Below are 13824 nucleotides of genomic sequence, written 5' to 3' on the forward strand. Positions count from 1 at the left end.
TCAGGGAGAAGGTTCAGGTTTATTCCATAAAGATAGAAATGACACCAGAAAGTCTACCACCTTTACCTGGGTCAGAAAAGTTGAATGTATTTCCAAAGACTCTTAAACTGTGGGTTCTTTAAAATTTTAATGCTTACCTCCCCCTGACACACACACATACACAACAATTACAGGAGTTATTGACATCAGTTTGTGCATAAGAACTATAGTAATATTCAAATATAATTTATTTGAGTACAAGAGTGGACCTCTATCCAACAAGTATTTGTTGAGCATCTACTATGTTGGTGATAGAAAAGTGAACCAGACACAATTCCTTCCCTCAGTCAAGGAACTGCCCCTTCCCAATCATGTGCTTTCTATCAATGTCCAAGACAGATAAGTAAGCAGTCTTGTAACTGCTTACTTACATGTGGGATGACAGAATTCTTGTTTACTCATAATTATTGACATCCAAGGAAATCTCAGCCTACTCTAAAGCTGATTATAAATTTCATAATTCCTGCTCTACACACTCTCCTTCTCTCTTTAAACATCAAGTCTAATGTGATTAGCCAAGTTACATGACCTAACTTGCCGGCTTAATGCTATTTTACACCCCTTCCTTCATTACTGAAGTTAAAAGGCTTAATCTTAAAGTCAAACTAGACATTATTGGACTGTCCCTATGGTTAAAAACCCACCTAGGCCAGGCATGGTGGCTCACGCCTGTAATCTCAGCACTTTGGGAGGCCGAGGCGGGCAGATCACTTGAGGTCAGGAGTTGGATACCAGCCTGACCAACATGGTGAAACCCCATCTCTACTAAAAATAAATAAAAAAAAAATTAGCCGGGCATGGTGGTGCGCACCTGTAATTCCAGCTACTCCGGAAGCCGAGGCAGGAGAATCACTTGAACCCAGGAGGTGGAGGTTGCAGTGAGCCGAGATCGAGCCACTGCACTCTAGCCTGGGCAACAGAGCAAGACTCCGTCTCAAAACAAAAAACAAAAAGCAAACAAACAAACAAACAAACAAACAAACCCAAAAAACCTCACCTTATTAACTAGTTCTTTTATTCACCAAACTCTTCAAAGAGCTTCTCTTCAAAGGCTTCTCTTGCACAGGGAGAAAGCGGTTGGTTCCATTTGGGGCAGTCATATAGGGCTGTTTTCCAGGAGATGACATGTGGGATAAGTCCCAGGGTAAGCATGGGCTGCTTGAGGTTGGGTTTGTGATCACAAAATACATATGGAATAAGCTAGGACTTCAAGGTCTGAGATCACTGAAAAAGACCAAGGAAACACCTGGGTCCTGGAACATATTGGATACATACCATCTCCCAAAGATCATTAAGAAGACTTAAAGCTCCAGAAAGATGAAAAACGGGCACTCAGTTTTAAAACTCAGAAAGTACAAAAAGAAGCAACAGCACTGGCCTTGAAGAGCATATCCTCCAACAGTTGTTCTTAACCTGTTTTCATCTTCACTATTATGATACACTATTTTTGAAACCCTGACCCAGAGTGGAGATTCAAAATAAGAAATTACTTTCCTTCCTTAAGTAGTTTATCTGGTCTAGAAGTAATCCCTAAAAGAGGAAGAGACCTGTTCATTAACTCTCATAACTACTCCAGAGCTCCGTATCAGAATTTTAGAACAAAAACTTCAAAAGTGAAATGGAGAAGCAAGAATTATTATCCAGCTTTGGTTCTCAATCTGGCTCACACCTCCAACTGTGCAGATTACTGTTAATGAAACTGTGGTTCAACGCTAGTCTATATTGAATGCTGCTCCAAAGGCACAGGGTAAATATTGCTGACAATACTTCTAAGTGCTCTAATGAGTAGAGCTCGAGAGATGAATAATTCCTTAACTGAGCATGATGCTCAGTTAGAGGTGGAGGGCATGCTTAATCTGGTAATCACTTATAGGAAATGTGGGTAATTTCTCTCGGGAGAACAAGCCCTGTTACTCATAAGGCGCCCTAATGGACAGTGCTCAAGAGAATAGGCACTATTGCACTCCTAATTTAGGTCTGGCACACGTCCACATTCTCTAGATGACCTCCCTCCTCCCTTCTTTTCCCCCCAAAAGTAATGAAATAATGGCTGATGGCATGATGTAAGCAGCATCATAGTGGAAGGTGTAACCTGGGCTTTGGAGTTAGATCTAGGTTTGAATTCTGGTACACTCTACTACATAGCTGAGAACACTCATTTCATTACAGTGTTGTTATTACTAGAGACAGGGTCTCACTCTGTCACCCAAGCTGGAGAGCAGTTGCATGATCTTGGCTCGACCTGCCAGGCTCAAGTAATCCTCCCACCTCAGTACCTGAGTAGCTGGGACTACAGGCATGCGCCACCATCCCTGGCTAATCTTTGTATATATAGATAGATGGATAATTTTTTTTTTTTTTTTTTTTTTTTTTTTTTTTTGGGTAGAGACGGAGTTTCACCATATTGGCCAGGCTGGTCTCCAACTCCTGAGTTCAAGTGATCTGCCAGCCTTGGCCTCCCAAAGTGCTGGGATCAAGGCATGTGCCACTGCGCCTGGCCTCATCACAGTGTTCTGCTTTTATCTGCTCCTGAAAGCTGGGGTGTGCTGTAGTAAACTTAGAAACAGGAAATACAGAACAGCCATTTTCTCCTGCTGATCATATTCCCTGCCAGTTTTCTACTACCTGGCCCACTGATCGCCTTGCCAGATGTCTTCCCAGCTGTAATAAGCCCTGTTTCCCAGGACTCAGTCATAGCCATAACCAATGCTTTCCCTAGAAATGGCTCTTACAAAGTCTCAGGAAAGCTGAAGTTGGACAACAACCTTTTTTTTTTTTCTTTTTAAGAGACGGGGTCTCACTCTGTCAACCAGGCAGGAGTGCAGTGGCACAATCACAGCTCACTATCACCTCAGCCTCCAGAGTATCCAAGACTACAAGCACACACCACCGTGCCTACTTATTTTTTTGTAGAGATGGGGATCTGACTTTGTTGCCTGGGCTGGTCTTAAACTCCTGGCTTTAAGTGATCCTTCTGTCTTGGCCTCCCAAAGTGCTGGAATTATAGGCGTGAGCCACCATGCCCAGCCTATACCACAACCCTCATTCAGCTGGTCTCCCCCGGGGAGGCTTCATCTAACAGAGCCAAGACTGTCCTCTCCATACACTTAGGTTTGTGTTTGCTACTTGGTTTTTATATTAATCACCTTTCACATCCATTTATATGCAAAATTAATAGAAATAAAGGATGCAATTTGTCATCAATGATGGTTCATAATAATCATTTAGGCACTTGTAGAATGAAAACTACTAAGGTTTCTAGGACTAAGAAGAAATACTAAAGTAATACACTTATTACCACCAAAGCCACTACATTTTTTGAGGTGTATATTTCACAAGGTATGCATAATTTAGATGACAAATTAAGGCTCAAATTTTAAGGATGAATAGCTATTTCATTGATCTCACATGGCTCACTAGGCAACAGATTCCCATTTAAAAGGGATAATTGAGTTTAATGGGATGCTAACTATAAGGGGCTGAGTAGGGTTAAGGGAAACCAAGTCAAGATATCCAGTCAGCAGTGTCCAGTAGAAATTTCTGTAACGATGAAATGTTCTACATCTACATTGTCTAATACAGTAGCCAAAGCCACACATAGTTATTAAGCACTTAAAATGTGGTCAATGTGACTAAGCCACTGAATTTATTAATTCGTTTAAATAGTCACATGTTGTCAATAGCTACCACATTGGACAGTACAGTTCAGGTCTAGCAAAGAGCCATCACAACTCCTAGGCCTGAAAAGGTGAAGTAAAGGAACAATTACTGAAACCTGGGATGATGCAGAATTAGAACTCTGTCTTCAGGAAAGGATTACACGGCAGGAGCTGTAGCCTTTGACAGAAGAATGCTGCCACTGCCAACTTGCAAACCAACAGGGGAAGAATTGGGAATAAATACCAACTCACTCTCACTCTTCTTTTTGCCCCCATTCCCCTCTGGTGCCTCTGACTGGTGGAACTCAACCAAAAAGTAAAGAGAGCTCCTTGATGCAGCCCATAAAGGTCAGCCTCTTGGAGCACAGAACAGTGAAAGGTGGAGAGTATATCTGGAACAAAACATTATTATACCCCGTGCAAAATGAATTGAGGCATCAAAAGTTTGCTTTATTGACACTTATAAATCTAAATAAATATGGAACCAATAGCAAAACATTTAAAAAGTATGTTGGTAAAGGAAGTCCTACAAGTGTTTCCTGTTGTTAAAACTATCCGAGTTTTCTGTTGCAACAAACAGGACAATGTTTTAATCAAACTGTGACTGTGTTCATTTCAGGTTTCCTACATGAAGAATTGTCAATACTACGCTCCCTCAACTATATTCAACCAAGGATCTGCGTGAAACTTTTTCTAAGGTACCATCTCAAATATATTCAACCACGGAACTGCGTGTAACTTTTTCTAAGGTACCATCTCAAATCACAAGGCCTGGGATTGGGAAATTGTTTTACTTTACTAAAGACCACTGTAACTCAATAAACGAACTTAGATTAGAAAATTAGAGGCAGACCACTACTCCTCTCGGACTGCATGGCCACTGTCTTCAGCTGTTTTCTGTAGTGATTGTTTCTAGGTATTTTACCTATTTTACCAACCTTTTTCACTTTTTGCACTGAATAGTGCTAAGGGAAAAAAAGGATGGGGAAAGGAGGAGTGGCAGTATCTATAGCTAGAGGGTCATCCTATTTGTGGAAAACTTTATTGTCTACTTTAGTGGGTCCTGAATATTAGTCCAGTCCTTACTGCCCAGCACTTAAGGAAGAAAGGTCTAATGTGACTGTATGGGGGTTGAAGTAGGTACCAAAGGAAAAGCAGTTCCCACCACCTCCAAGGAGCAGGAGCTGTTGCTCTTCAGGAAGAAGGATACTAGTATGGTTGTGTAACATTAATGGCCATGGCACATATGTTGTGTCAATCTGATACTCAGAGCTCAATCCTGTAGTCAAATTGATCACAGTCACTCCAGGAAATGAGGAGGAATGAATCCAGATCCCTCCAACCAGTAACAGCTTTCCATTGAGCACATGAGCTGTGTGGGAGTACCTTGGGGTAATGGGAGGCTGGATGTCTACTGACTCCCAGAGGAATCCACAAGAGATTGGTCTCAGAAAGAGCACAGAGTTCAATGGCTCCTCAGAAGCCCCGAGACCTCCAGCAATAAGGGCTCCCCCTTGCCAAGTGCAGGCACTGTGAGAATGCCGGGCTTCAGGTACTTCTCCCTCCACTGGGATCCTGACCCAAGCCATTGTCCCTACATGGAGGAAATGCCAGTCACTTAGTACAGGTTCCACCACGCTTCGACCCCCATACACAAACAAATATTCCTGATTCTGACAGGACACTTCTGTTGTTGAATGCCGCCAACAACACAAAGTGGAATCATCCTTTCGGCCAGCCTTTGTTATTGTCACTTTCAGGTCCTCAGTGTTATTATCCTCACTCTTAAAAAAATGAAGCTGGAGAACCCCCAAGGCTGGACTTACTGGGGACAGTCTCCCTCCCAGAACCAGAACCCGACTCTCTGAGAGTCTTGTCATGGTGTGATAAAGGCGTCCATCCCACTGAACTCCAGTCCCACAACTGCCTATTTGGCTGCCTTTCCATTCAGAGTCACAATCTCTTGAGAGCAAGTGAAACTGGCTCACTCGGCAGTGCCGCCCCTCCTGCTCTCCAAATCCTCCTGCACTGAGAATAACGTCTGGGCTCAAGAAGACAGAGGCGTGGCCATATCTCTTCAGGTTTGGGACCTGGCCCTCGCTACTGACTACGCTGGCAGGGAATACCCCTGAAGGCGAAGCAGGATTTACGCGAGGAAATGCCTCTGAGGATGGAAACACTAGGGTGTGGGAGAGGGTGTCTCCCCTAGAAGCTGCCAGAATGAAATAATGGGCGCACTTCAGATGCCACTCCTCAAATTCGTCAAAGGGTTCAATATTTTCCACCCGCCGGCGTTCTTCTGCGGGAAGAAAGCAGTGATAGAATTCATTCATGTCCACGGCACCGCAGGCGGTCCAGCCAGCTTGAAGGAAGCGGCGCCGCTGCGCCTCCACGTCAGGAAAACGCTCCAGGCCATGCAGGGGGGAGTTTAGCTGCCGAAAATGTTGCAGCATGAACTGGCCAAAGGCGTCTTGAGGCCTCATCTGCTCATAGACCACGAAAAGGGCATTAGGAAAACGCTGGGCTGCCCAGGCGATGAGGGCCGCGGCACTCTCCGGCTCGAGGTAGGTCAGCACCGCCTCGGCCAGGAGCAGAGTGGGTGAGGCTGCGTCGAGCCCCGCGGCGCCCAGGGCCTCCTCCACTCGCTGGAGCTGCCGCAAGTCCAGACCCAGGATGCAGTAGTCTGCGCTCTCAAAGCACAGCGCGGACGCGGGCTCCCCCCTCTCGAAAGGCCCGGTTAACGCGCACAGCTCTGGCGTCTCTCCAATCCTTTCTGCTTTGCGCCGCGCCACGTCCGGAAAATCCACCTCCCAGACTGCAGCCCGGGCCAGGCGGCCCGCGGTTTTTAAGCGAAAATAGAGCGAGTCGAAGCCAGCGCCGAGAGACAAGATCTGCGCGCGAAGCGCGGCCTGGGGCGCGCCAATCTGCTCCAAAAAAGCGCGCACGCAGTGCCTCACGGCGCGTGCGCGGACGTAGTAGCCTCGGTGAATGAGCGGTGCGCGGCGCGCCGCGCCCGGAACCAGCAACGCGGCAAAGGGGTCCTGCACGTACCCGCGCGCGGCCAGGGAACGCTTGCTGAGGGCGCTGCTGTCGTTGGTGTTCTGTACCGCGCCTGCCCGACGCTCACGGCTCCGGGGGCCCATGGCCAGAAGAGACTCAGGAATGGCAGTCTGTCACGGTTGTGAGCCGCCCCTTGGTTAGCACACACCTCACGGACCTCGGTAGGGGGAAAAAAACCACCCATGCTCCTGGACTTCCCCTTCCGCCGGCACTTGTGCGTCACTTCCGGGAAGAGCGCATCTCGCCAACCAGAATTGAGGAGGGTGTAGCCAGTGCTAAGTTCGCTTGCGGCTGACCTTTCTTTGGAATGTCGTGAGTTCCATTTGTCCCAGAATACGGTCCGCTACCGCTGTGACATGAGTGTTAGGGAAGGCGGGTTGTCACGTTTCTACAAGCCTTCCAGTCAAAAGGGAAACCTTGCCTAAGTCCTTGTAGTTGAGAAATCTCTAAGAGGTGAGTCTGTGGGGACTGACGACTTGGCTTCCTTGGACCGCCAAGGAAGGGTCTGGTAGGAGCCAAGAAGGGTCGGCACCACGGACCTTCAGTAGGCAAGGATTAGTTAGCTTCCTTGGGTGCTAATAGTTGCTGATTTATTTAATGCTCTCACAGTTGCAAAAGAGAACCCCATTTAAAACTTGAAAACAAGTCACTAAGGCCAGGGTGCAAACTGAAGAAACCGACCTTTACAAATAATTTATAGACACCTAACAAGAAGACGTTTCCCCACAGATAGTAGACTGTTGATTCCCTTGTATTCCCAGCCCTATGTTAGACTGACGGTGAATAAACCACTCAGCCTCTCTTTCTCATCACACCGCCTTGGAGAATTCTGTGGATTTTAAAGTAGTGTTGAATATGTCCCCAGAAAGGGGAGTCACTGAAGAGAGGTGATTGTTCCCTGTGATATGTTCTGAGCTTTGTTTTTAAGGAGTAAATCCAGGTTAGACTTCAGAATAATCATAAAGTTTCTAAATTGGGTGTCTGGGAGTCATCCATAGGAAACCACTTCCAGAGACATTTAGGAAATTTATCATTTGTTCACTGGGATTTGGTGACTGACTGGCTGAAATAGAAAAGGAAATCAGATAACTTTATGGTTAACTACAGGTGGTACTGCATAATGGTTAAGAGTGTGAGTTTTGGAGTCCAGCAGATTTGGATACTGGAGTCAAGAAAAAGTTTCGTATTTTCCAATGTTTTCTTGTGGAACAAAATGAAATAAGAAAGAAAAGGTTTGGATCAGGATAAAGATTCGGTAATTGAAAAGTGACATTTAGATTTGGTGTTTAAAAGCTCATTAATGGCCTTAGGGAGAGCAGTTTCTGTGGAGCAATAAGGGCAGAATCCATGTTTCAGTGAATAGGAGGTGAGTTAAAGGAGGTATCCAGTCTAAATTATTATACTTTCGAGGAGCTTAACTCAGAAGGAAAAAAGGGTCAGGGCAGTGGCTAAAGAATATTGTGGGATAAAAGAGTCTTTTGTTTTGTTTTCAGGTGGAAGCAAATACTGCACATGCGTGTTGGTCCTGTGAGGGAAACCAGCTAGTGGAGAGGGAGAGGTTGAAGGAACAGAAAAATGAGAAGACAACTCACTGGTAGAGTAACTTGGAATAGATAGAAATGGGATCCTGGGCACGTATTAGTTGTGGGGATAGGAGAATGAATCCTTTATCTGTGACTCCTGATGGGGTAAAAAAAAGATTATGGATAATCATAAGCTCAGGTGTGAGGTAGGGCAGAGAGAAAAAGAAGGAATTTGCACCTGATGGCTTCTGTTTTCTCTGTAAAGTTGGTGACAGAGTTGTCAGTTTAGTGTAAGGCATTCAGATCTGATGGAACATTTGAGCAGTTTGAGAATTGCTTCTGAAGGGATTAGAAGAAGGGCTCACCTATGCCTGCTGGGTCAGTGGATCCTCACCTCTAAAATGAGATTAAGTACTGCTTCGTGAGGTATCTCAGGGTTGATTGAGGGGCAAATAGAAAAAAAAAAAAAGTTGAAGGACTTTGAAAAATACGTAGCACCATAGAAACAAATTTATTTAATGACAGGTTCCTAAAATGTAGGTGTTATGTCAAAAATACTACTTGTTTTGCAAAGACCAGATCAAGAAAAGTAATTAAAGAAGAAAGAGAATGGAGTAAAATTTCTGATTTCGATGCCTTATGATTTAGGCCGGGGGAGGAGGGGCCATTGTTTAAATCTCAGTTTATTCTTATATAAAATGGGGATAATAATATCTCAGGGGTTGTTGTGAGGATTTAAACAAAATAACTATCTAAGACACCACAGTGCCTGGCTCATGGTAAGTGCATAATAAACAGTAACAAATTTTTTTTTATTCTGAGTTCCCTTTTGGGGGAGTAGGTGGGAGCATGAAAAAAGTTCCCTGGGAGACAGGATACTTGCTTCTGGCCCTGCTCTAATATTGATGAAGTATTACTAACGTGGATCTTATCCCAGTGTTTGTTGCCTTCCGTCCCAGAGCAAAACCAGTCCAGAAAAGTTAAATTTGTCATGGCATGCTGTTGTTGGTATCCATGTTTTAGGCAAGGAACAACAATTTTTTTTAATGTGTAAAGATTATGATTGCTTAGTTGCTTTTTAATTTCCATAGGTTAACATTGTAGCCAGTGGGTCAGTAAATTTACTCACAGCTAGTTAAAGGTCAGTCTGGAGGATGGTTTGAATGGGGCACAAATTAAGGTCAGGATCCTGGAGTAAAATTGAAAATCTGGCCGGGCGCAGTGGCTCGCTCCTGTAATCCCAGCTCAGGCTGGTGGATCACTTGAGCCCAGGAGTTTGAGACCAGCCTGGGCAACATGGTGAGACCCCGTCTCTACAAAAAAAATTTTATATAAAATTAGATGGGCATTGTGGTGCATGCCTGTGATCTCTGCTGCTTAGGAGGCTGAAGTGGGAGGATCGCTTGAGTCTGGAAGCTTGAGACTGCAGCAAGCTGTGATCGTGACACTGCACTCCAGCCTGGGCAACAAAGTAAGATCCTGTCTCAAAAGAAAAAAAAAAAAAGGTATGTTTTTCCATTTTAATTAAATCATTTATGTTTTTCGGTAGAGATATTAAATGCCATTGATTAAATAGTCCATCTTTTTCATTTTTTACTATTTATTAAGCACTTACTATGGCATTACTTTGAAATGCCATGTTTATCTCATACTAAGTAGGCCTTTCTATGGATTTCTATGGCTATGTTTAGTCCTATACAAACTACTTTCTTTATTGTACATTTTAATATCTTGGTAACTTATTTAACCCCACTCAGTATCAATTTATTGATTTTCAATACAGTAATATTTCACAAAGTTATTTCAAGGATTAAAGATAACATTATTAAAAGCGCTTGTCACATACCTGTTAGGTTCCAAATACATGGAAACTGTTATTCTTAAACATCATCCTCATTAATACGTGAGAACCCAGAGAGTCAAGGTGGCTAGTTTGAAAATCACTAAATTTCACTTGGAATTTTATCTTCACTTATAAACCACTTTCAGAAGTGAAGGGAAATTATGATTGATTTATCACCTACAGTGTGCTAGGCACTGTGCTAAGTGTTAGAGTGGTGGAATAATTCAAAGGACCTGTCCTCAAGGAACTTACAGTCTGGTGAGAGAGAAAGACAAGTATATCAGTGATTGAGATATCAGTGTGATTAAATGCTGAGTTAAAGGCAGTGACTGGCTCATGTGGGAACATAGATGAGGGGAATTTAAAATACTTTATTAATCGTCACTGCTACTTTGCATTTTTAATCCCATTTTTGTAAATAAAGAAACTGAAGCCATGAAGGTGAGTGACTAAGGCCACACAGCTTCTAACCTGTAGAGCTGGTAAAAGGACAAACCTAGGTCCATCTAATGCCAGCACCTCTGTTCTTCTTTTATATATTTTAAACAATTCAAAATTTAAAATTTTATTTTTGGCCGGGCATGGTGGCTCATGCCTGTAATCCTAGCACTTTGGGAGGCTGAGGCGGGTGGATCACTTGAGGTCAGGAGTTCGAGACCAGCCTGGCCAACATGGTGAGACCCTGTCTCTATTAAAAATACAAAAATTGGCCAGGTGTGGTGGCATGTACCTGTAATCCCAGCTACTTGGGAAGCTGAGGCAGGAGAATCACTTGAACCCAGGAGATAGAGGCTGCAGTGAGCTGAGACCATGCCAGTGTACTCCAGCCTGGGTGACAGAGGGAGACTGTCTCAAAAAAATTATATATATATATATATATATATATATATATTTTATCCAAAGTAGGCCTTATAAAATTTTGAATTTTTGAAGTCGTTGTATAGAAGGTGCCAATAGTTAAGGAATATACTCTACTAAATGTCAGGTTTTAGTACACCTCTTATAAGCTTGAGGTCTTTTCCTGTTTCCAGTTTATGTTGTTTACTAATCGTTTTCCCACCTTAGACACACTTAAGTTAGTTTTAGAGGAGCTTTTGCCTTTTAAAGAAAAAATTAACAAAATCCTGTTTCTTTGCTTTTACATCTGAAAATATTAACATTTGTTAAAATAGGTGAAGCTGAACCCAGATCTACACATACAGCTAATCTTACCAAAATGTGTGGAAGTAAAGCAATCTGAAGGAAATTCAGTACCATACAATTTACTGACTGAAATACATCATATTGCTCATACTAAGAATAAGAGTGGAGAAGAATCATTTTTTTCCTGCTAAAATGATAGAGGCAGAAGAGCAACAGCCTTGCAAGACAGACTTCTATTCTGAATTGCCAAAAGTGGTGAGAATTCAACTACAGAAATCTTGAGTGGTTGCTAATTATAATGACTTTGATGTTGCTTCTTTTCATCAAAGTAAATTTTGGCTGGGCGCAGTGGCTCATGCCTGAAATTCTGGCGCTTTGGGAGGCCAAGGCGGGTGGATTCACCTGAGGTCAGGAGTTTGAGACTAGACTGGCCAACATGGCAAAACCCCATCTCTACTAAAAATACAAAAATTCGCTGGGCTTGGTGGCATGCCTGTAGTCCCAGCTACTCAGGAGGCGGAGGCAGGAGAATCGCTTGAACCCAGGAATCGGAGGTTACAGTGAGCTGAGATCGCACCAGTGTACTCCAGCCTGGGTGACAGAGGGAGACTCCATCTCAAAAAAAGAAAAAGTAAATTTTGTAGGCAAAATTTGTAAACTTTATTATGTAGCTAAATCTAGTAAGCAGTTTGCCTATTGCAAACTACCAACATTAAGTACTTGGTAAGATGCTATGAATCTATTGGATATTTGATAAGTTTTACTGGTTGTATCTCTTAGGAACTTCATGCCCACTTGAATGGATCCATTAGTTCTCATACCATGAAGAAATTAATAGCCCAGAAGCCAGATCTTAAAATCCACGATCAGATGACTGTGATTGACAAGGGAAAGAAAAGAACTTTGGAAGAGTAAGTGTGGGGAGGTTGTGGACATACTCCTTTTTTTCTCTATCAGTATTTTGAGATTGTAAGTAGTATGTAAGAATTCAGATTTTGGTAAACAGAAATAGGGTTGGCATGTGGTGTGGAGCATATATCTTAACATACAACATTTTTTTCCAGCTGTTAGACTGTTGACAGTATTTCTAGTGATTTCTGTTGTTTGTGAAGTTATATTGGGATATTCTTTCTTTTCTTTTTTTGAGACAGGATCTCACTTTGTTGCCTAGACTGGAGTGCAGTGGCGTGACCACAGATCACTGCTGCCTTGACCTCTGGGGCTCAAGCAGTCCTCCTATCTTAGCATCCCAAGTAGCTGGGACCACAGGTGCACGCCACCATGACTGGCTAATGTTTTTTTAATTTTTTTAGAGATGGGGGTCTCCCTATGTTGCCCAGGCTGGTCTCAAACTCCTGGCCTCAAGCTATCCACTCGCCTTGGCTTCTTAAAGTTCTGGGATTACAGGCATGAGCCATTATACCCAGCATGTGATAGTCTTTAGATTTGAAAATATAGGCATATTGAATTTCCCCATGTCAGGTGTGGGTTGGAGAAGGGGTACTATTATTTCCCACTTAAAAATATCAGTAATGTTTTATTTTCTATCATTTGATTATCTTTCCAGATCAATGTAATTTTTGAAACATCTATTCTGTAGTTCTTTGTAAATATAAATATATATTTACTATTAGCCTAAAATTTAATTCATTCAGTTAGTGAGTTTCTTTGATGACTAGATTATGTTAAAACTTTTCATTCATGTTGCAGATGTTTCCAGATGTTTCAAACTATTCATCAGCTTACTAGTAGCCCTGAAGATATTCTAATGGTAAGACATGAAGGAATTTTTAGAATGGTTTAAAAATTATGAAGTAATTTCCTTCCATTATTGCACATGGCCTTTCATTTTTGCTCTCATTAAGAGTGATGAAAAATGTTTTCTCTATTATGGCAACTCTTCAAAACCTATGTAAGTCATTTGCCTAAGAGCTAGTACAGAAAAACTGTGTTTCTTGTAAAAGATATGAGGAAAGAACCATGAAGAGCATCTTCTATAGGATAGAGGATGATATGGAAGAGAAAATTTGGTCCTGTTTTTCATATATAACATACATATATGAAATATTAGGGCTGGGCGTGGTGGCTCACGCCTGTAATCCCAGCACTCTGGGAGGCCGAGGTGGGCGGATCACAAGGTCAGGAGTTGGAGACCATCCTGGCTAACACGGTGAAACCCTGTCTCTACTAAAAATACAAAAAAAAAAAAAATTAGCCGGGCATGGTGGCGGGTGCCTGTAGTCCCAGCTACTCGGGAGGCTGAGGTAGGAGAATGATGTGAACCCGGGAGGTGGAGCTTGCGGAGAGCCGAGATCGCGCCACCGCACTCCAGCCTGGGCAACAGAGCGAGACTCCGTCTCAAAAAAAAAAAAAAAAAAAAAGAGAAGTATTAGACCACAGATGGGGATATCCTTAATAAGGCATTGTCTGTATTACATAGGAGACTTACTGTATGGGTGGACATTATAGAGAAGGAAGAAGTTCAAGAAGAGCTTAGAGAGTAAGTGATTAATCCCTAGGGAAATTGTGCTTTCCCTCTGAGGGCACAAAGGATACC

General features: G+C 42.9%; 2 protein-coding genes across 22 annotated transcripts in view, besides 2 other annotated features; one reads left to right on the forward strand and one right to left on the reverse strand.

The window, feature by feature from the left end:
* Nucleotides 1-6925, reverse strand: LCMT2 (leucine carboxyl methyltransferase 2). Its single transcript, NM_014793.5, has one exon. It carries the CDS (start codon nucleotides 6839-6841, stop codon nucleotides 4781-4783), a length of 2061 nt encoding a protein of 686 aa, NP_055608.2. The 5' UTR covers nucleotides 6842-6925; the 3' UTR covers nucleotides 1-4780.
* MAPDA (N6-Methyl-AMP deaminase) overlaps nucleotides 6703-13824 on the forward strand; it is a 24219-nt gene continuing 17097 nt past the window's right edge. For 6 of the 21 annotated variants that reach the window (NM_001324366.2, XM_017021968.2, NM_001159280.3 and 3 more), the window contains exons 1-6: nucleotides 7024-7211; nucleotides 8252-8352; nucleotides 9663-9786; nucleotides 11297-11522; nucleotides 12048-12178; nucleotides 12978-13038. In NM_001324366.2, coding sequence (NP_001311295.1) covers nucleotides 11460-11522; nucleotides 12048-12178; nucleotides 12978-13038 — 255 coding nt within the window. In that variant the 5' untranslated portion in view covers nucleotides 7024-7211; nucleotides 8252-8352; nucleotides 9663-9786; nucleotides 11297-11459. Of the gene's footprint in view, nucleotides 6920-7023; nucleotides 7212-8251; nucleotides 8353-9662; nucleotides 9787-11296; nucleotides 11523-12047; nucleotides 12179-12977; nucleotides 13039-13824 lie in introns of those variants that run through there. The other 15 variants (XM_017021965.2, XM_047432207.1, XM_047432203.1 and 12 more) reach the window with 5 other exon arrangements.
* Nucleotides 6833-7783: an enhancer, noted in NCBI's record as "H3K27ac hESC enhancer chr15:43622679-43623629 (GRCh37/hg19 assembly coordinates)". NCBI's record gives its function as "activates a minimal SCP1, AML or CMV promoter by ChIP-STARR-seq in naive H9 embryonic stem cells {active_cell/tissue: H9 hESC(naive)}" and the evidence as "EXISTENCE:reporter gene assay evidence [ECO:0000049][PMID:30033119]".
* Nucleotides 7016-7065: an enhancer, noted in NCBI's record as "active region_9312". NCBI's record gives its function as "activates an Ori minimal core promoter by ATAC-STARR-seq in GM12878 lymphoblastoid cells {active_cell/tissue: GM12878}" and the evidence as "EXISTENCE:reporter gene assay evidence [ECO:0000049][PMID:35858748]".

The sequence above is a fragment of the Homo sapiens genome, chromosome 15, assembly GCF_000001405.40.
Source record: "Homo sapiens chromosome 15, GRCh38.p14 Primary Assembly".
Classification (NCBI taxonomy): domain Eukaryota; kingdom Metazoa; phylum Chordata; class Mammalia; order Primates; family Hominidae; genus Homo; species Homo sapiens.